Source organism: Homo sapiens, chromosome 11 (assembly GCF_000001405.40).
Source record: "Homo sapiens chromosome 11, GRCh38.p14 Primary Assembly".
Classification (NCBI taxonomy): Eukaryota; Metazoa; Chordata; class Mammalia; order Primates; family Hominidae; genus Homo; species Homo sapiens.
The window spans coordinates 19,441,606-19,463,960 of NC_000011.10; the positions used below are offsets into that span (position 1 = coordinate 19,441,606).

A 22,355-nucleotide genomic window follows, 5' to 3' on the forward strand; every position below is an offset into this window, starting at 1 on the left:
CTGTCTTATGGTGGGCACTTGTAAGTGGGCTGCTACTTCTTATTTATTTTTTAACCAATTTTGTGAAACAACAGATGTGGTGCTTCTCTTGTGGTTGTTATTCTCAAAGAGAGGATGTTGGTTGCAGCAGACAATTTATCGGAGCCCATTTTCTCCCTTGGCTTCAGCAGGGAGCCAGGGGCTGGGGGTGCTAAGTTGGGCAGGAGTGGAATCCACCCTTCTGTCAGCCGCTGGCTTGAAAGCAAGCATTAGCACGTATTCAATTTGGTCTGGGAGCTCTCCTCTGGACACCGAACCTGGTCCTTATCTATTTTTCCCATTAATAATGAGCTGTTAAATCACATTGCTCATGCCATTTGCAAGATAGCAACGTGTGGTTTAATTGTGCCTGCTCTGTTCCCCCATCATCTCAATCCTCCTCCTAATGGCTTGGCAGGCGGGGCAGGGCTGCTTGGGAACCACTGGCTCAGGCCTGCCATTTCCTGGTCTAGCAATCTCCAGTTTTAGAAACAGGGACTGCTGTGGCGGAAGTGGAGTGGAGCTCCGAATGTGAGGGCCCTGGGGAGGGGAGACTGTGTGCACTCACACCTGCACTCTCCCTCCTCCCCATCATCCCAGAGGCCCTCTCAGAAATCCTAATGGTTGAGGAAAGGGGGCTGGCCTGGCAAGAGGCTGGGCCTCCATTCCTATTTCCCCTGCTCATTGCCTGAGGCTTTCAAACAGTTCCCGCTCCTATCTGGTTTTTGCTGGCGGCACAGGCAAGTTGCTGAGTTCTTGTGATAAGGCTGGCTGATACATAAGGATAATTACGTCTGTGGGTTTGGAATCACTCAAAACCAAAGGTGAAATGACTCAACACAGAGGAGGGCTTTCCCCAGAGAGGTGACTCATGCGCTGGTGGTGGATATGGCTAGAAAGGAGGTGCATTTCTCAAATGTGAGAAGTTGACCTTTCTCTGCTGTTGCTGGGAGAGCCCAGGTGTGGGAGAGCTGGCCAGGATCAGAGGGCAGGGCTCAGGTGGCCTGCAGAAGCCTGCAGTGATGTTGGGAGATGGTGGCATCATAGCAAGGGCCCAGGGCTCTGGTTCCACCCTGCCACCAACTGGCTGTGTAAACTTAAACAAGTCCCCCTGTGGCTGCCTTGGCCCTAGAGTCCCAACCTTTACAGCAAGTGTGACAATAGGCTATATAAAAAGTATCATTCTCTCTCTTCCAGTAGCTTCAAGAATGTGCTTGTTTCCCTTGACTAAAGCAGCTTAGAAGTGGATTGTCCTGTGTTTTTGGTGTTTTAATTTCAGCTGCCCCTTCCACCATCGGGAGAAATGTGGTCCCTTTTAGGATAAGATCTGAGATGCAGTCCCGCCCAAAGAGGTCCCCCTACCTACCCATCAAGGTGTCTGAAACACCCACATTTAGATCTAACTGGAGAGGGAGGCCAGGTAACGTAGTAAAAAGAGCTTGAGCTTTGGGAATGAGACATGAATCTTGGGCATCATATTCCTCATACCACTTCCTTCTTCCTGAAGTCACAGTTACCTTGTCCTGCTGCCACCTATGGCAGCATCCTTGCTAGAATCTCTGAGCTGAAGCCCTGGGACAGCATGGCCTTCATGCCCTCTATGCCAGGCCTTATCCTTGCTGAGTTGCTCCTCCACTGCGACACTTGGATGAAATGCTACACTGCAGGATATGGTTTCTGACCTTCTCAGTGGCCACCAATGGTCTGCAATGACGGAGAAGTATACAGTCAGCTCTCCATGGAGTTGGACCAATGAGAAGGAAGAAACTTGAAAGAGATGGGCAGTGCATCCCCACTCTCTCTCCCTGCCATGGACCACTCTGAGATACAGTTTGTCCTTGCAAATCTTTTGCAGAAAGTCCCACATGCTGAGCAAGGACACCTGTCAGGTGACCTGCTGCATCTGCCAGCAGCTTGTGGTAAAGCAGTGGCCAGCACACTAAGGCATCTCTTTGCATCCTTTTGCTCCTTTCTTCACATGGGTTTTCTTCTCTCCTCTTTCTCACTGTCCTGGGCTTGCACTTCCCAAAGAGTGTTTACACTGCTCAAGCTCTGCTTTCTACAAGACCCAGACTAAGACATCTGGCTTGGAATTTGGATCTGCCCCTTGATAGGTGTGTGAGATTGAGCAAATTCTTCACATCTTCTAAAATGTCAGTTTTCTTCTCTGTAAAATAGGCATAATAACATCTATGTTTTAGAGTTCAGAAAAGTAGATATAATTGTATCAAGTACTTAGCACAGAGCCTAGTATAGATGCGTAGTGAGTGTTCAATAAGGGACAACTCCTCTTATTATTATTATTATCGTTATTATTATTTTTTTGAGACGGAGTCTTGTTCTGTTGCCAAGCTGGAGTGGAGTGCAGTGGCGCAATCTCGGCTCACTGCAACCTCTGCTTCCCAGGTTCAAGTGATTCTCCTGCCTCAGCCTTCTGAGTAGCTGGGACTATAGGCACCAGCCACCATGACACCACGACTGGCTAATTTTTGTATTTTTAGTAGAGACGAGGTTTCACCATCTTGGGCAGGATGGTCTCCATCTCTTGACCTTGTGATCCGCCTGCCTGGGCTTCCCAAAGTGCTGGGATTACAGGCATGAGCCACTGTGCCTGGCCCTTATTATTATCTTTATGGTTGCTGCTATTGTTGTTTGTGGTAGAAATGGCTAGCTGTCTCCAAAGATTTGGGCTCCCCCTCCACAGTGAAGAGTTATTGCTCAGAAGCCCTGCCCAGCCAGGAACTCCATTCCTCAACCTTTCTTGCATCTAGGGAAAGTCATGTGGCTAAGTTCTGGCAAATACAGCGTGGATAGAAGTGATGTAATGCCTCTTCCAGATGGGCTCATAAAATGTTCTTGCTGTGGTTTAACCATGTGCTGAAGATGGTGCAGCAACCATCAGCCTGGATCCCTGAATGGCTGTAGAACCGGCCCCCCACTGCCCACCTGCTCCTCCCCTCACTCTATCATTGAACTCTGTATGAACAAGGAATGAGTTCCCTTTGTGTTGAACCACCAAGAGTTTGGATCTTACCTGTTAAAGCAGCTAATACTACCTTAATAATTACATTGTTATTGCTGTTGTTCCTTTATTATTATTATTACTAATTATTATATTATTACTAATTATTATAAAATATAGAATAAGATCTCCCCTGAGAGGTCGTTTTCAGGCTTTTCTAGTGGTTAACTGTGTAGACTCTGGAGTTAGAATGCCTAGATGTGAATTCCAACTCCATCACTTAGCCCTGTGAATTACTTAAACTTTTTTATAAATAGGCATATGGATATTATGGGACTTGGAGAAAGAAATCTATATGAAGAATAGGAAAATGTCTGGCCCAGAGTAAAAGTTCAATAAAAGTTAACTACCACAACCACCATCTCTGCTATCACTGCCATCATCATCTCCATCTTCATCATCACCACCATCATTATTTATCAATGGAGAATCAGGCACTGGGTGAATGGGAGGTGGACTGTGGTCTGGTCCTGGGGTTGAAGAGAGGCATGCAGAAGATTGAGAACATGGTGCACAGGTGCAAAACAGACAGTCAAACACGGGAAGAGGAAATAAGGAATGTGGTCCTGAAGATAGACAGGGCCCCCTTTGAATTTGGTGACCAGAAGGCTACATTTTTCTGGCAGGTGGTTTTTTTTTAGTCCTACTGGCCAACAAAGATCAGAATACATCCTGCAGGTAGAGCACTGTGCTGGACACTGTGGGAGATACAGTGAAGAAGGAGCTGAGGGAGGGGACTCTGAACTCCTGGGAGGCACCAGGCATGGGACTAGGCACTTTATTCATGTTAACTTGTTTAATCCTCATCACAAACCTTATGAAGTTGCTATGATCCCCACTTTATAGATAAGGAAGCTGATACAAGGTACTTGATGGAATTATGCCATATTCACATAGTAAATTTTGGAGCTAAGATTTGAATTTTAACTGGGTAGGGACTCTGGTCTCTCGAGCCACATCCATTTGCCAAGGGTAATTCAGCAGAATGTCAAGATGTAGCTAGGAAAAAGCAGAAAGTGTTAGGAGACTGATACTTGCCCATTTCCACTAGCTGGATCTAGCTCTGTGGCTTTTGGCAGCCCTCTTTATTGTCTCTGGGCCTCTGATTTTTTTTTTTTTTTTTTTTAAATAAGAGAGAAAGGGAGATGGAGGGAAGTTACATGTGCCAGGTACCATATTAGGCTCTAAACAGAGCAACCATATCATTTAATCTTTCCAATAGTTTACAAGGTAGGTGATGTTATTATCCCCATAGTACAGGTGAGAAATACTGAGGCAGAAAGCGAGATTAAGTCACTTGCCCATTCTCTGTTGTAGACTCAACTTCTTAGCTATGTCATCCTGTCATATGTCCTTGTGTCAACAATGTCTTTGTGGTGCAAAGCCCAAGTCATTTTGCTTTACCATGCTGTGCATCTTCAAGACTTTTTCCAGATCTTAGTTTGCTCAGTCTCATCTATAGAATTTCTTCAGGAAACAACACAAGAAAAACAACGATTTGATTATCTAGCTCTACATTCACCTATCCTCACTTTCCCAGACTAAGGTAATGAAAGTGGAACCAAGTAGCCTCGTTTGAAGCACAGGATCAGGGATCTTAGTTCTCTTGGCTAGAAAACCCCTCCCTCCCACCACCAGAGAATCATAGCTATGGGTTCCTAGATGCCTCCATGTTTTTAAGGATTGGGGAGGAGCAATTTAAATACAAATTTTGCATCCTTTCTTCCTTCCCTCCCAGTTCCTTTTAGTATATGTTCTGTGACATTAACCAAGGCTCAGCCGACACAGAGAACAAGGCCAGAGGTTGTTTGGGTTTAAATGAAAGTTGACACAACTCAAGGTTTATCTGCCTCAGTGGGCAGCTCTCCAGAGAATGGAGTTTTTGGACATGTTGGGGAGTTTTCTGCCTCTTAATGAGCTCCTTCTAGCCTGCCAGGTGATAGCAGGGGGTTAGCAATTGCTTTAGGGGATTCGATAACAAGAATGAGGACTGCATCTCAGACGGTGTGCCTGCCTGCCTGCCTGCCTGCCGCCAGAGTCATCATTAATGCAAACAGCTGAACCGCTGAACTGCTTGGAGCACCTCAAATGTGGGAGCCAGAGCCTGGTGGGGAGGGAGAACCAGGTCATTGTAAAGGCCATTGTCCTTTTGAATATGACCATCCCATTACAGACTGGAGGTCTCATGACCCCCAAACAACAGTGTGGAACAGATGTTGATGTAGCCTGGGACCAGGGAAAGGGGAGCCAAGCGTCAGCCTGGTCTCTCTAGTGCCATGAAAGTCCTCCAGGCACCTGTGATTCTACTTCTCTCCAAGGAGGGGAGACAATAGTGAGGAAAAGAACATTGCATGAGGAAGTGAGGTTACTATGCTGCCTGCTGGACCAGAAGGGAGTTCTATGTATCCCCTCCCCGGAATCAAGAAGATTTTGCCCCACTCACAACTTGGGATACTGAGAGCCACTGTTGCTCAGAGGCCTGCGGTAAAAGAGGTTTATCTGCTTTCTAATCCTAACCTGAATCCTTTTCCAAATGAACAAAACTAGTTGGAAACATGATACTGCCAATCTCTTCCAGATTACTTGAGTCATCTCTGAAATTGAGTGGGCTGGTTCTTTTCAAGATAGATTCTCCATCAGTCTGTCCTATGAACCCAAATAATCATTGGCATTTGCACCTTGCTTCGTGGTTTCCAAAGCATTTCCACTCACCCTCATCTGAACCGGTTGTGTGGGGTGAAGGTTCAGAGCCTGGGCTCTGGGGTTTGGTAGAGTTGGTTTGATTCCAGCTCCACCACTTCCTGGCTGAGACACCAGGACAAACGTGCTTAACCTCAGCTTCCTGCTGTGGAAAGTGAGGATAGTAATTCCCACCTCACAGAGGTTTGGGGGAAGGCGAGACGATGCATTTAAAGCCCTTAGCTCACGGTCTAGCATTCAGTGAGCTGCTATTGTTATTACCCTGAATTCTTACAACACTATGACATAGGTGGGGTAAATATCAAGCACTCCTGACTTAGAATGTAAGCCTGCCTCATGGGCAGAGACCGTATCTCTTTCACTTACCCACAGAATAAGTCACAGAAGGTCCCTTTCTGGACCGGGTAGAACTGGGTTGACTTGTAAGACGTGCTGCTTCTGGAGAAGTGCTGCTTCTGTCTTCCTTAGCCTTGACGTTCCATCAGCAGGTCCTTCTGCTGGATTCTTGCAGTGAGATATGAGAGATGAGGCACAGGGACCCCCGCCTCCATGCTCACCCCCAGCTCCCAATGAGCAGCTCAGAACACACAAATCCAGACCCTCCCACCTTCCTCTCTCTCCTCTGACCAAACACGCACCCTGGTTTAGCTTGAGCTGTTGCCCACCACAAGTGGTTAAAGGAAGAAGGGTGCTGTCATGGCCCAGCCCTGCCCTCAAGGGACACACAATCTGGTAAGGGAGGCAGACATGGAAACAGACTATAATAATTAGGGAGCTATAAAAGCACCCCACCCTGTGCCCCTACCCCACCCCCCATCACACTCCCCCTGAATTCTTCCTTTGCCCTCAGTCAGGCGCAAGGTGGGGGCCAGCCCTGGGAGGTGGCGGTCCCTGCCTGAGGAGGTGTGGGCAGGCAGGCTCAGCATAGAAGTGCTTTCCCTGAGCACAGCAACCCTCCCCGTGGGGTTGGTACCAATGTATTCTGCCTGTGGCTGTTACTTCTCAGCTCCCACCTTTCAAACTAGACCAGGTTTCAAACCTGAGTGTTACCTTAGCGCTCTCAGCAGGCTTGGCTCTCTCATTGCGTGGATTGGAATATAAGCATTATCCTCAGAAGCAACATCAGAAATGCAGATGGCCAGGACATCCTGGGAAGTCTGGCTCCTCCCAATCCCAAGTTCATCTTATACTGGGATCCTGGCACGTGGTTCTTCATGGGGAGACCATTTGCTATTTAGTCGGACATTTTGTTTTACGAGGTCTGGGCTGTAAGTATTCATTATGTGAACTTGAGTTAAGTTCCCTAACCTCTCTGATTCTGAGTTTCCTCATCTGTAAAATGGGATTACATTCCTTACTTCATATTATGAGCATTGAATGCAATGATATATGTAGGGCATGCTGGATATTGCCTAACATATAGTTAGCACTTAATAAATGCCATCCGTTTTCTCTTTTGTTCACGTAGTGATTAGTTTGATAAATAAAGACTCTTTGGCAATGAAGTTATGGTCTGTGAAGGAGGGAGAGAGGAGAGCCAGAAAGTCAATGTGCTCTCTAAGAGTGATTGCTAAGGAAATAGAGCTGTTTAGAGTGCAGTTATTTATTTGTAAAATAAACCACCCAGTATTCTACACAGTGTGAGACTATTTTTTTTTTAAACTGTGAAATGCAATTTGTATAGCATGATCTATGGATTATTAAATTCACTTAGCCTTGAGCAAGGCCTGAAATTGAGCGATTATTTTTGGTTCTCCACACTCCCTCCCTTCCAGCCCCAGCTCCTGGTTCTGTTAAGCCATCATGAACCTGGCCTCCAGTTTGGGGAGCATGACCCAGCTGGGCTCTGAGCTGAGGAAAGACAAGTGTGGCCTGGTCCACAGTGATATAAGTGATGTAGAGGGCTCTTGAAACACTCCCCAAGAGAAGATTCTGACGAATGTGGAGGCCTGATTTGAAATGTGGGAGCCAAGCCCGGAAGGCGGAGTTTGCAGTGAGCTGAGATCCTGCCACTGCACTCCAGCCTGAGCGACAGAGCGAGACTCCATCTCAAAAAAAAAAAAAAATGTGGGAGCCGAGAAGGAACAGCCACAGGCCCACAGGCAGAATGCATTGGTACCAACCCCACAGGGAGGGCTGCTGTGCTCAGGGAAAGCACTTCTATACTAAGCCTGCCCATACCTCCTCAGGCAGGGACCGCCACCTCCCAGGGCTGGCCCCCACCTTGCACCTGACTGAGAGCAAGGGAAGAATTCAGGGTGTGTGTGTGTGTTGTGGGGGTGGGGGGGTAGGGGCACGGGGTGGGGTGCTTTTGTGACTTCCTAGTTATTATAGTCTGTTTCCATGTCTGCCTCCCTCACCAGGTTGTGTGCCCCTTGAGGGCAGGGCTGGGCCATGAGAGCACCTTCTATGTCCGCAGTGCCTGGCCCAGAGCAAGTCAATGGCTGTGCTAAAAACAACAACTGTGGACTCCGGTGACCCCCCTCCCACCCCCTGGCCCTTCCTTCTGCAAATCTTTCTGGTGCTCTGCCCTCCACCTGAAGATTCGTGGCTTCATTCGGTTATGGTGAGAACTAACCAGACATCCATAGCAAAGGGCAGCAAAGAGCCTTTATTCACTTTTCTAGGGAAAGACATGACAGGAAGGGATGCCGATCTGAAAACTGTGTTATTTTCAATTCACCACTGGGACCTCATTTTAAAAAATGAACTGCCTGAGTGTTTGGAATGGGGGAAAAGACCTTCTGGGACAACAGTGACAGCCTGAACAAGGAATTTGGAAATCCATGTACCACTGTACAGTGGAGCTGCAGGGGTGAGCAGCCGCATGGTACACATGGATTTTTAAAACCCCTCTTCTGAGCACCTGGGGAGTGGCTCAACACCTAATTTCCCTGCACAGCGTATGATTTGACTCCTCAGTGGTGACAGGTCACTTAAAATCAGCAGTATTCAGACCTGCAGGGCCACCTATTCCCTTCCCCTCTCATTTTTCTCTTTGTCAGTGTCTAAAGACCAGCTCCTTGAGCCATGGAGTGCTGGATGAAAACCATTTGGTAGCAGGAAAATGGCTAGGTCTATCCTTTTCTCACCGGAACCAGCCTAGGCAAATCACTGGTGCTAAGCCCTGAAGTCATTTGTTACATCCTGTAGCATGAATGGCAAAAAACTTTCCAAATCCATTAATGGCTTATTCAAAACAGCACATAATTCAGAACCTTTGCCATTTCCCAGCTGACAAAAATGTCCTATTAATAAAAATATCAGAAACCACACATGTATAGTTTCACTTTGACTTTTGAATTAATGTCTGATCTCCTGAGTTTTAAATTAACAAGATTTCCCTGCATAACCTATACAACTTCGTCATTCACAACTAAATCAAGCAGCTGGGTTGGCTTAATCAGTTTGGTTTGGCAGGGACGCGTTTGTGTAGAGTTTTCACCAAATGGCATGGATTTTCTTCCCTACAGAACAGGGTTGTGCGTGTGACAGGCTTGTGCTTGGTGTTTCTGAAGCCTCCTCATTGAAGCCACCTGTGCATTATGGTGCCAACTGGTGGGTGATCCTGTGGGTCTGCTGGGTGAGGTGGAGGTGTGTAGCAGCTTCTGAATGAGGTACAGAGTTACTTTTAGGGAGGATGAAACAACTTGGAAGCTTCTGATCAGAGTGGCCACTTAGTAAATCACCACCCAGTAGGGACTTCTCTGATTACCTTCCCATAATATACTGGCATAGAGAGCTTTAGCTGTCCCCAGGTTAACTCCACCCTGGGTCACATAGTATGAAAGAAGCTGACGGGACAGAGGGACATAGCTCTGTCTGCCCCTTGTTTGTATCTGCATCCCTCCATCTCCCCGTTGTTCCAAAACCGAGTCCCAAGCCTGCTGCCTATTGTCTCCACCTCCTCTCATTTCTCTGCCCCTCCCTCATTCTCTTCTTTCATGACTCCAAGATATTCCTAGAGATTTACTTGTATCCCCCAAGCAGCACAGAGTTCGTCACATCACAGAAAAGGAAGCAGATCTCACCCTAATAGATTCATTGTCCGTCTATACCTCTCCCCAAATGGTACACATTCTCTCTCCTTCCTTCCCTGCATCCTTTCCTTCTTTCCAACAGATATTTATTGAGGACCTACTATTATTCAGCTCTGTGCTGGGCTCTAAACAAACAGCAGTGGGGCTTACTGTCTAAAGCTGGAGACAGAGATTTTAAAAACCAAGTTCGCAAATACTAAAATAATTACAGGTGACTTGGGTATTGCACATGAGAAGTGTAGGATGCTAGGAGGACAAGTCACAGTGAGACCTGGTCTGGAGAATTGAAAGGCCTGCCTGTCCTGAGGATGTTTTAGCTGGGACTGAACATAAGTCTGAGTTTCCTAGCAGGAAAGAAGGGAAGAGGGAGAGTTCTAGAGGAAGGAACAGCCTCACAGCTTGTGCAAAGGCCCTGAGGCAGAAAGGTGTTAAGCAAATGTAAGGACATGGAAATAGAAGCTGGCTGGAGTCTAGAGAGTGACAGAGCAACAGCAGCTGCTGAGGTGGGCAAGGACAGATCAGCAGGGTCTTGTAGGCCAGACCAAAGGTGGGTGTCTTTATCCTAAGTGGGAGAGGAGGCATTGAAGAGGATCAACAAGAAATGTGTCTTTACCATGAAGTATCCTCATAACTACGGTATCAGCTGTTTCATCCTCACTACGTGGTTCACGTCATTATCCTGTAACTATGCAACACCTGGTCAGTTCTATTAGGTTACAAAAGTGTGTGTGTGTGTGTGTGTGTGTGTGTGTGTGTGTGTGTGTGTAAAGATTAATATTTCTTCTTCATTTCCTTTCCAGTCTTTTCACCTAAGTGGATAACCCTCCAGAGATCAGTTGAACTAAAGGCAAATTTAAGAGATTGCTTTTAAAAAATTAAGAATCAAATAGTTATGGAAGAACTGCCATGTGCCAGGTATCATGTTGGGCCCTGACATATGGAGACGAATGAGGAAGATAAAGACACAGCTGACAGGTTGGGAAGATGACCATAAACAAATGACCATATTGACCATGCCCTCTCTGTCTTCCAAAAAGACCTCTAGGACAGGTTCCTTGTCTAGCCACCATCCTCTTCCATAGCCCACTGTCTGGGTGAGAAATCCTCCTCTCTCTTCCACAGTCCTGTACTGATGCTCCTTGATTTACCGTTGGGTTACATCCCAATAAACCCATTGTGAGTTGAAAACATCCTAAGTCAAAAATATGTTAATACACCTATGCTGCTGAATATCATAGCTTAGCCTTGCCTACTTTAAATGTGCTTAGAACACTTACATTAGCCTACATTTGGGCAAAAGTATCTAACACAAAGCCTATTTTATAATAAGGTGTGAATATCTCATGCAATTTTTTTGAATACTGTATTCAAAGTGAAAAACAATGTATGGGTACTCAAAGTACTGTTTCTAGTGAATGTGTATTGCTTTTGTACGATCATATAATCAAACCATTGTAAGTCAGGGACCCTCTGTATTTCGACTTTCATAATAACAATAAGATAGCTAACACTTAAATAGTGGTTACTATATGTAAAAGCTTTTTACATGTATTAATCCAATCCACAACAAACCTTTGCTATATCCCCATTTCACAGATGTTGAAATTGAGGCTCAGAGAAGTTAAGTAATTCCATCAAGATCACATGAACCCAAAATCACATGGCTGGTAAGTGCGAGTTAGGGTTTGAACCCAGGCAATCTGACTCCAGAGACTGGGATCATAACTGGGATTGCTACATGACATTGCTCATATTCAACTGTCCACTGCTCTGAGTTCCCCTCTCAATTTAGACAGCAGACACCTCGTGTTTTTTGTGCCCTGTAGATCCCCAGTGCTCAGCACTGTGGCTGGCTCATCATAGGTGTTCAAAATAAACAGGTGGATCCCAGCTGAGTACAAATGAGGCAAAGCAAAATACTGGGCAAGATATGGGGCCCAAGGAAGGAGAAAGCCTTTCAGGATTGGAGGCACCAAGAAAGGATGCGTGTCCTTAAGAAGGGCTATTCTTGGGACTCTGACAAAGTGCTACCGGGCAGCAAGATTTAGATCAATTCAGGAAAATTAATCTTTAACCTTAAACTGATGTTAGAAATGTGTTTAAGGGATCCCTGACTATGCTAACAGTTTTTGGAATGTGAATTTCTTCCCTAGACACCTTCTGGAGCCCCCATGGGCTGCCTGGATCAGCCTGAAATGTATGTCATCTATGTGGCCTTGCCCAAACTGCCCCATCTGCTCCTGAACCTGCAGGGGCTTGGAGAGCAGTCTAACCTGGCCTTGGAGCGGAGGCCATGTCTCTCTGCACAATCCTCAGGGCCCCCACAGCTCTCTCCTCCTCCTGAAATCCTTCCAGCCATGAATCTAAACCCTTCGCTGATAAATCCTTTATCCTTTTAAATGACTCTGTTAGGTTTTGTCTCCTGCTCAAGGCCAGAGTCAGCCCTTTAGAAAAAGGAAAGAGGCCATCCAGAGCCATCCATTGGCCTTCCTGTCACTATTGTGCCTTAATTGAATGCCTTTATGTTGGGGGAGGCCATTACGATCATTTTTCCTTATTAATTGCCCATCCATTTTTGCCTCTGAATAGCCTTCTTGGGCAATTTTGGACACCATCCGCTGCCACCGCCTTGGACGTAGATTCTGCTCACGGAGATGTGCTGGCTCCAATGAAACAATGGTTACCGGGCTCTGAGTCTGCAACTTAAAGTGAACACTCCCCGTCCCTGGAGGCATTGTGATTCAGAGCACTGAGAGGTGAAGGCTGGGTCAGACTGCAAGTCCCAAGTTGGAGCACAGGGAAGCTGGAAGAAGGGCTGTGTCTCTAAATGGTTAGGTTTCAGCAGCTCAGGGTTGTTTTGATGATACTGGGGCCTGTGGTGTCTGCAGAGGGAAAGCAGTCCGCCTGACCTCATAGGGTTGGGGGCCACAGTCAGCTGCAAATAGCTGCCTCAATGCTGGCTGAAAAAGTAGGTCCCCAAGGGGAGCTAAGAGGACACAGCCTGTCTGTGGCTTCTATTGAAGGAGAATGGATGTTTTCTTCAGGCCCATCACCCTGAGCATTGGAGGTTAATGTTAATTGACATTTACTGTGTGCTGGGCCTGGGGCTTTAGACGAAGTGTCCTGGACTGGAAGATCCCTGAGGACAGGGATCCTGTTTGTTTGCAAGTTTGTTCATTCTGAGCATTCTTATTGACTGCTCACTGTTTGCCAGCACTGTGCTGAGCTGGGAGGCAAGACAGACCCAGTCCTTCTGTCATGGAGCCTCCAGGAAGGTGGGCCAGGCTGATGATGGAACAGACCAGAGACTGTAACCGTGAATTAATGGGACACGTAACTGAAAGTAAAGGAGGTCAATGGCTAAAGATAATATTTCTAAGGAAAGGGCAATTGATTTGAGAAGGAGCTAGCAAGGGGAGTGTTGGGAGGTGGGAGCACCTTCCAGAAAGAGAGAACAGCATGTACAAAGGTCCTAAGATAAGACAAAACTTTGTGTCTTCAGGGAGCAAAAAGAAGGTCCTGTGGCTAAAACAGTGGTTCTTACTGTGGGTCTCTGGGCCAGCAGCAGCAGCATCACCTGCGAACAGGTTAGAAATGCAAATTCTCAGGCCCCAGCCCAGATTTACTGAATCACAGACTCTGGGGGTCAGGGGTAGGCAGCAAGCCTTCCAGGTAATTCAGATGTACCTGAGAGCTGGAGAACCACTGGACTTAAGCAAGAGGCAGAGTGACTTTAGAAGACTCAGAGAACTGGTAGGTCTTGGTAGGGCCAGGTTGGGTCAGGTAACTGCCATAGCGAGATTAGATTCTAAGTGCAATTGGAAGACACCAAAAGAGTTTCAGCACTTGGGTGATATAATGTAATATTTATTTACAAAAATGTTTATGGCTGCTATGTGGAAAAGTGATGGGTTGGAAGGTTGGAGACCAGCTTGGAGTCTGTTTACCATATCCCTAGCACCTAGAACCACAAGTAGTATATAGTAGGTGCTCAGTAGCTGTTTACTGACAGAATCATCACATTTTAGGCCACTATATGCTCTCATAGCACCCTGTAAATTCCATTCATAGTATTTGCTACATATGAAATTGAATGAATTGTACATAATCTCTCTCCCATTCTGCTGTAATTTCTACAAGGCAAGAATAGCTACTAGATATAATGCCTGGCACTTAGGGCCTCAGTGAATATTTGTTGAATGAATAACTGAATATAACCACAGCATCTCTATGAATGGGCACTATTATTATGCCATTTTACATGACAAGAGGTAAGTAAATTGTCTCAGGATCCCAGAGCTAGGAAGTGGAGGAGCTAGAATCAGAACTCATGCTCTTCAAAACTATGATAATTCCTCCCTCCTTTGTGCATTTACCTCTGTGCTATTTAAGGAAAACCATCAGTAGAATTCCAGGGTAATGTCTGTGCTGGCGAAACAGTCCCAGAAATTGCTCTTGAGCAACGCACCAGAACCTACTGCATCAAAAGGCTGTGGATATTTGGGGGCCTGCCCGGTTGCCATGGTGTTTGACCTATAGAAGGCAGAGGCATCCTTCCTCCCCAGCTGTGGCTAAAGCCTGACCGTGCATATTCATGGTGGGGCCAGCCCTGCAGAGGGGGAGGGAAGGAGGCCAAGCCAGGCAGCACTAGCTTCTTCTGCTATTCAGGGTTTGAGCACCAAGGAGGTATAACAATGTCATCCAAGCAACCTGGATTGCTCCCACCAGCTCCTCCAAGACAGTTGAGGACCCAACTCTGAAAAACATAACCGGAAGCCCCTGATTTACCAATGGAAAGAGGAAAGTAAAAGAGCGTGCATTTAAAGGATACCTGTGATATACCCAGTGTTCCTGGGATATTCCTTCATGTGATCTTGAAGCAGCCATCTAAAGGGCACTGACTGTGGGCAGGTGCCATGATAGATGCACAGTCACTGTTTCATTGACTCCTCGAAGTCCTTCATGAAATAATGACTATTAATAAGTAGTGTCTATTGTGTGGAACAACCTTGCAGAGTAGCTATTATTATCCCTACTTCACAGATAAAGGGTGATGGGCCTAGAGAAAATGTCCATCCTCCCTAAATAGGAGCCACAGAGAGGCTGTGTTCTCACAGCTCCTCCCAATACCTACTTTCTTTCTTGGCCAGCATAGAGGCAGCTGTTTACAGCTGGCTTTGGCCCCCAACCCTACAAGGCCAGGTGGACTCCTTTCCCTTTGCAGATGCTACTGACCCCAGCATCATCAAGTCAACCCCAAGTCACTGAAGCTTAACTTTTTGGAGGCTTGGAGAACAAATAAATAACATGTCTGACCTCCCAGGTAAAATTGTTAGAGGTGGGATTTGAACCCAGGTCGTCTGACCCCAGAGCTCATGCTCTCTACCCCATTCTCGCTCTCCCTTTGGTGCAGTTTCCTGTTATGGCTGGACTGCTCCTTCCCAGGACTAGACTCTCCTGGACAGATGCTGTCATCTGCTTAACAGGCTGATGTGAGGGAGGCAAACAGGAGATGAACCCAAATCCCTTCAGACTAGAGGTCCTGTGGTGCCATACTTGGACATGCCTTTTGCTTCCCACCTCTTAGGACTCGGCTCTTCTGTAAAGTACGGTCAAGGCAGGGTGGGAGTAGTTAACCTATTAGATCTTTTCATTTATTTTTAAATACTTAGTGAGTTTTCATTATTTACTAGACCCTGCTCAAGGCTCAGGGATACAGGGATAAGTGAGACAGACAACATCTCTACTCTCATAGAGTTTATACTCTAAATGGAGAAGAAAAACAATAGCAAAATTTAAAAGGAAGAAAACAACAGCAGCAATGTCATTTTAAGGAAGTAATGATAAATACTGTGAAGAAATCAAAATAGAGTAATGTGAGAGGAAATGCAGGGTTGACATACTTGGCTAATTCACATTGGGTGGTCAGGGAACACATCTCTAACAAGGTAGCTTGTAGGCAAGAAGGAGCCAGTTGTGTGAAGACCTCGGGACCTGAATGTAACGCAGAGGGGACAGCAAGTGCAGATGCTCTGAGGCAGGATCTGACCTAGTGAGGACGAGAAAGAGAACAATGGTCAGGGCTGGGAAGAGGGATGGAGGAGGGGCAAAGCCAGATTGTGGAGGGCCTTATTGACCATGGTAAGGAGTTTAGGTTGAATTTTAATTAGGATGAGAAGCCATTTGAGAGAGTTAAGCAGGAATGACACCCTCTGATTTGCATTTTTTAAAAGGTCACTAGGGCTGCCACATGAAGTGAAGGGTGAATTGTAGGGAGTGGGAGAGAGGAGAACAGGAAGGCCAGTCATCCCTGCAGGAGATGCCAGCCTGGGGTGTCACCAGCAAAGTGGAGAAAAGGAGACAGATTTTGTAACAAGTTTTGGGGCACCACCGTCCTGGGCAGAGGGGAGAACAGAGATGCACGTGACAAAGCCCCCACCCTGAAGGGTCTTGCAGATGAGTTGCAAACTCATGTTTTGCCCCCAAGAAATAATTACAAAGAATTGAAGAGAATGAGGCACAGAAGTGGGTTGCTGGGACATGCACGGAATAGGGCACAAGGAGTTAGAGAAGAAAGATGGCAGGGGGTCCTCCCTTCCAAGCCCAGTTGCCACTCCTTGCCTTTCTTATGGCCTCAAAACCCCCATCTGGTCCCCCTCCTATGATGGTTTGGCAGCAGGCAAGTTCCCTATATGACAGGCATCCTGCTTTCACCAGTCTGCAAGCCCAGCCAGACGACTGCATCTGGGAAATGGCAGTCTCACTGGCGGAGGAGGTCCTGAGGAGTTCTTTGGGCCTGGTGCCCATAGCTGCCATCCTCCTGAAGCATGTGGATGAGAGGTCAGCCCAGTGACAGCCACACTGTAGCAGGGAGTAGGCAGTGCTTGTGCTGGGTGACCAGCCAGCTGTGGCTGCTCCCAGAGCCCCTTCCCACAGATGTCTGGTCAAATGTAGAGGAAGCATTAGGTGGGGGATCCTTTACTTGCACACGGAATGATTCACCAAAGCCTTCCTGTGCCTAAGCCACACATTCATGTGAAATATGATAAAGTCTAGCCATGCATATGCCTTGGGAAATTGCCCAGGACCATTCCATGGCTCTCTGTCTCCTACAAATGAATTGTGATAATAGCTAAGATTTAGATTGTACCTACTATGTGTCAGGCACTTGTCTAAGTGCTTCATCTTTGTTAACTTATTTAGTCCTCATGATGACCACCTTTTATAGAAAAGGAAACCGAGGCACAGAGAGGTGAAGACTCCAAGTCCCAGAGCTAGTGAGAGGTAGAGTCAGGATTTGAACCCAAAAAGCCTTACTCCTGAGCCCATGCTTTTAACCAGTTCTCTACACATGTGAAGAATAATGCTCAGACTCCTGTGCTAGCATGGGGTGCCCCTTGGCCCCTCATACCACCTTTCTAGTCATACCTCCTACCTCTCTGAGGCAGTCCTTCATGGCTGTTGAGGTCAAATGCTGAGATGGATGAGTGTGGATTCAAATCCCAATCTGCCACCAACTACCTGTGAGACTGTGCAGGCCACTGTTGCAGAGACAGCATGAGCCACAGCAGGGAGTCTTGAGTGTGCGTGAGCACAGGTGGTGATGTGGTGCTTGGGGCTGGGGAGAATAAAAGGAGATGAGCGTGGGAAGGCGGGCTGGGGTCCTTGTTGCTCAGGCCTAGAAAATGCTAAAGGCAGGGAAGAGCTACATCAATTGTAACTTCTGGTTATAAGGAAATTTCCAGTTGTAAGTCATAGAAAGCCCAATCTATACAGGCTTATGCATAAAGAAATGCATTAGCTTGTGTCATTGAATTGACCGGGGGTAGCTGTCTTTGCAGGCCAGGCTAGGTCCAGGGGCAACACACTATGCTTTTAAGACCTTGTCTTTTTGCATCTTTCCTCTCTGTGAGCTATGTTCTTAGATACTGGTGGCAAAGTGGCTGCCAACAGCCTTATGGTCAAAATCCTCAGTCTCCCAGAACAGAGAAAGTTTCTGCCTTAGCCAGAGTCCTGGGATTAGCTCTGAGTGGATTGAACAGACTTCACTCAGGTGATTTCCTTATACCTAACCCAATCACTGTGGCCTGGGGGAGGTGATCATCTGATCAGCCAGGCCTGGTCATGAACTCCCTCTAAGGTAGAATGAGTGGAGGACAGTCATCTCTATTACCAGGAGAAGAGCTAAAGGGTGGCAGCAAGTAGGACAGATGTTTCCATAGAGCCATCTAAGATGTTCAAGGAATGGAGTGGGATAATCAACCAGTATTCTAGAGAGAATGCTATGATGGTTGTGTGGAGGTGAGTTTGAGACAGAGGATATAGGGGGTGTCTACTTGTGCTAGAAAAGATGCATTGGGTATAAATACTGGAAAAGCCTTTTGGAATCAGATTGAGGAGCCAGGGTAAGGAATTTAGGCTTTTCTCTAGGTCTTGGGAGCCACAGAATGTTTTTGAGCAAGAAAATGCTATAGCCTGAGTTGTGTCTTAGGATGATTAATACTGCAGGAGCAGTTAGGGTGGATTGCAAGTGGGGAGAAGATGCCCTTCCAAGACTTATCAGCATGGTGTAGTGGATAAAGCAAGAAGTTTAGACTTGGAGAGATTAGGATTAAAATCCTTGTTCTGCTACTTTTTGTGTATCTCTGGGCAAGATACTTAACCTTTCTTTGCCTCAGTTTTCTCATCTGGAAAATGGGATAATAACCTGAAAGGAATAGTGTGATTTAGAAAATGTCTTTAGAGCACTCAGCATGGTGTTTCACACATAGTCAATACACAACAAATACTAGTTTCTTTCCTTTTTCCTTTCTCTTCTTGTGATCCAGGGACCTGATTCCACTGAAGAGTTTGAGGAAGTAGCTGCTGACTTAGAAAGAATGTGGGGTTGGGCTTTGAAGTCAGAGATCTGGGTCAAATCCAGCTTTCTTATTTACCAGTTCTGTGATTTTGGACAACTTAATTAACCTCCCTGAGCCTCTTTTCACATTTGAAAATTTTCCTTTATAATCCCACTTTACCTAACAAATAAAGTACTCAGCATGTTGCCCACCTGGCACATGGTGGGTGACCCCCAAATAGTAGTTATTAGATTTCATCATTTAAAAAATTCCTTTGGTAGCTTCTTCCCTTGCGCTTCCCAGGTGAGCAAACTATCGCAAGGACAAAAAACCAAACACCGCATGTTCTCACTCATAGGTGGGAATTGAACAATGAGAACACTTGGACACAGGGTGGGGAACATCACACACTGGGGCCTGTCGTGGGGTGGGGGGAGGGGGGAGGGATAGCATTAGGAGATATACCTAATGTAAATGGGTGCAGCACACCAACATGGCACATGTATACATATGTAACAAACCTGCATGTTGCGCACATGTATCTTAGAACTTAAAGTATAATAAAAAAAAATTCCCTTGGGTTGGAGGGAATCCAAGATGAACTTCCTAGATAAGTAAAGATCTCATCTGGCAGCCCTGGGGTAGATGTTTTCCTTTGCCTGCTAGGTGGGGTCCTGTACACTCATCCCCTTCTACATGCAATAGACAGAGTTGAGACATAGAGCATGCTTCTGGTGGGATTCATACTTCCAGGTCCTTAGAATTAAACTCAGGTCTGATTTTCCAGGAGGGGACTATTAGCACTGCAGCAGCTTCCGTCTACAGAGTTCAGGTGCTGCAGTTGTAATTTGTAACCAGCACTTTCCCATTTGGCTCCTTTGTGGCCATCTGGTCCCCTTAGTGGAGATCTGTTTTGTTGGCAACTACAGTGCTGAGTAAATGCCACGGGAAAGTTGAAATTTACTCACCAGAGCTCAGTGCACCATGGAGATTCCCTTCTCAGCCTGCACAGAATGATCATCTCAGACCCCGCCTCCCCTCTCCCTGGTCCATTGCCAACACTCCTCCACAGGGATTTTTATAGTGCTACGATTATTTTATTGCCAAGAATCAGAGTAATTATAACTTTCGGAGGGATTTCCTAGGAAAAAATGAACTTGGGTTTATGCATAAGCACATGTGAAAGAAGAGGTTTGGGACTTGTGCGTTTTATGTGGTTTTAGGCATTAACGTGAGTTTCATTTCACTTAAAATACTTAATAAGTTTCTACCCACTGTGTAATTTGTTAATAAGGATGATGATGATGATAGCTGCTGTTAATTGAGAACCTGGTATGCAACAGCCAGTAGGCCAGGTATTTTACAAGCATCTCTTCTGGTCAGTCCAACTTGGAAGGGACCGTTTAGATCATGTTTCTTTTCAAATCATAGCTTGAAATCCATTAGTGAGTCATGAAATCAACTTAATGGGTCAAAACTAGCATTTTAAAAATGAAATAGGACAAAATTACATGGAACAAAATGGAGTAGCGAGTATCAGAGAGTATTTTGAGAATAAAGAAGAATGTTTTATGAACCTTATATCTCGGTTATGAACAGATGTGTGTGTGTGGAAACTAGACTGTGCTGGAGTGCAGTGGCGCGATCTCGCCTCACTGCACCCTCCGCCTCCCGGATTCCAGCAATTCTCCTGCCTCAGCCTCCTGAGTAGCTGAGATTACAGGCACCCGCCATCACACCTGGCTAATTTTTTGTGTGTTTTTAGTAGAGACGCAGTTTCACCATGTTGGCCAGGCTGGTCTCGAGCTCCTGACCTCACGTCATCCACCCGCCATGACCTCCTATAGTGCTGGGATCATAGATGTGAGCCACCGCACCCAGCCGAAAAATAAATTTCTTAATATGAGTTGTGCTGAAAGGTTTGAAAGCCACTGGCTTAACTGAGTGGTTCTCAAACTTCATCATGTATCATAATCACCTGAAGGGCCTATTAAAACACAGAATACTAGACTCTATCCCCAGAGTTTCTGATTCAATAGGTCTGGGTAGGGCCTAAAATTTTGCATGTCTAACAAGCTTCCAGGAGGTACAACTACTCCTAATTCCATACCACATTGGAAAACCACTGGCCGAATTATTCCTATCTTATAGGTGGGGAAGCTGAGATTCAGAGAGAGAATGAAAGTCACCCAGGGTTCACAGCTGGTGTAATTAAGAGCTAGGATTCAGACACAACGTGCCACCAAAAGAGTAAACTATGCTATGCCCACTTTGGTTTTAGAGATAAGCTATCTTCAATGAGTGAATCAGCAATAATTCCTCTCTCTATGTTTCATGTATGCTTTTGTATTTCATCTCCAAGTCATATATAAACTGCCTGAGATAGAAGAAGCACTGGAGCTTACAAGGCCAAAGCTCATAATATTTGGATGAGGACCTAACACCCAGAATGGGGTAGTGATGACCAGGTTTGAGTAGCACAGGTTTGAGGAAGAGCATCCTTAGCCTCCATCAGTCTTTGAGAGACTCCCAACCTCACTCTGTCTACTCCTTCTTTTGTTCTCCTCTCTATAGACACCTGAGTCTTAGTTGGAGTCTTGATACGTGCGTGCTAGGGTTCAGAAAGATCCTGAAGCCAAGAGAAAGCCTCACTGCCCAGAAATTTTCCCTATATCAGCTCTGTTTCCAGGTGGGCCTCTACAGAGTCCAAAATTTGGCACTTTCTGGGCTGAGGTATTCAGTATAGTATTCAGAGGATACTTCTTTTCTTCGATAGTAACTGAGCTGAAAGAGCAATAGCTATGGGCTTAGACAGAGCTGGGTCAAATCCTGTGTCCATTACTATGTGATTCTGAGCCATTTACCAAATTATTTTCCAGGTCTGGATTTGTTGTCTTTTATATAAGACTCCAAATATCTATAACTTCATAGAAATATTTTGAGGATTAATAATGCAAATAAAGCAGCATGGTGTTAGCTTGGTATTTAATGGGTCCTAAATAAGTAATAGAGATCATGTTCTTCATCCACTCACAAATATTTATCAAGCACCTACTATGTTTCAGGCATTGTGCCGTGTCTAAGAAAAATACAAAGTTGCCTTCGAGCAGCTCACAATCTATTGCTAAACTGGCCTACCCGTCTCCACTCTAATCCCATGCCTGTGTCAGACATGGTTAATCAATTGTGGTATCATTTCACACTGAGCTCAATGTGCAACTTTAGCCTCCTTCTCCATACAGCCATTCAGACAGCACTGCCAGGCAGATGGAGTGAGCACAGACTCCTAACTTCTTTGCTTACCTTAGTTTGGTGAGAGAAACCCAGAAATGGACAATTACTTTGGTGAGTGGCCAATGCCACGATAAGGGAAAGCAGAGGTCCCCAGGAGCTGTGTGAGGGCTGCTAAATTTTCTGGAGAGGGTGTGGTGTCTAACCAGAAAAAGCTGAGTCTGGAAGGACAAATAGTAGTTAATTATGTTCAGAGGCGAGCTGGTGATGAGGGAGAAGGGCAATCCAGGCAGGGAATACAAGGTTTTGGAGGCAAGAGGGAACAGGGAGCACTTGGGGGAACTGGAAGGACAGAGTGTGGGGGCAGGGGCTGGGGAGAGCTGACACAGTGGCAGTAGGGAAGGGCTGGGCTGGGGGTCCTTCCTGGCCATGCTGAAGTCAGGGGACCCTCACCATGCCCCAGGGAGCAGGCAGGTGAGTGTCTGCCATGCTGCACCCGGAAAG

General features: G+C 46.1%; 1 protein-coding gene across 11 annotated transcripts in view, besides 2 other annotated features; it reads left to right on the forward strand.

Annotated features, from left to right (window-relative positions):
* Window positions 1-22,355, forward strand: part of NAV2 (neuron navigator 2) — a 776,366-nt gene that overhangs the window by 96,370 nt on the left and 657,641 nt on the right. The window lies entirely within an intron of this gene.
* Window positions 286-1,485: an enhancer, noted in NCBI's record as "CDK7 strongly-dependent group 2 enhancer chr11:19463438-19464637 (GRCh37/hg19 assembly coordinates)". NCBI's record gives its function as "activates an origin of replication core promoter dependent on BRD2, BRD4, P300/CBP, MED14 and CDK7 cofactors, with strong dependence on CDK7, by STARR-seq in HCT116 cells {active_cell/tissue: HCT116}" and the evidence as "EXISTENCE:reporter gene assay evidence [ECO:0000049][PMID:35650434]".
* Window positions 897-986: an enhancer, noted in NCBI's record as "active region_4520". NCBI's record gives its function as "activates an Ori minimal core promoter by ATAC-STARR-seq in GM12878 lymphoblastoid cells {active_cell/tissue: GM12878}" and the evidence as "EXISTENCE:reporter gene assay evidence [ECO:0000049][PMID:35858748]".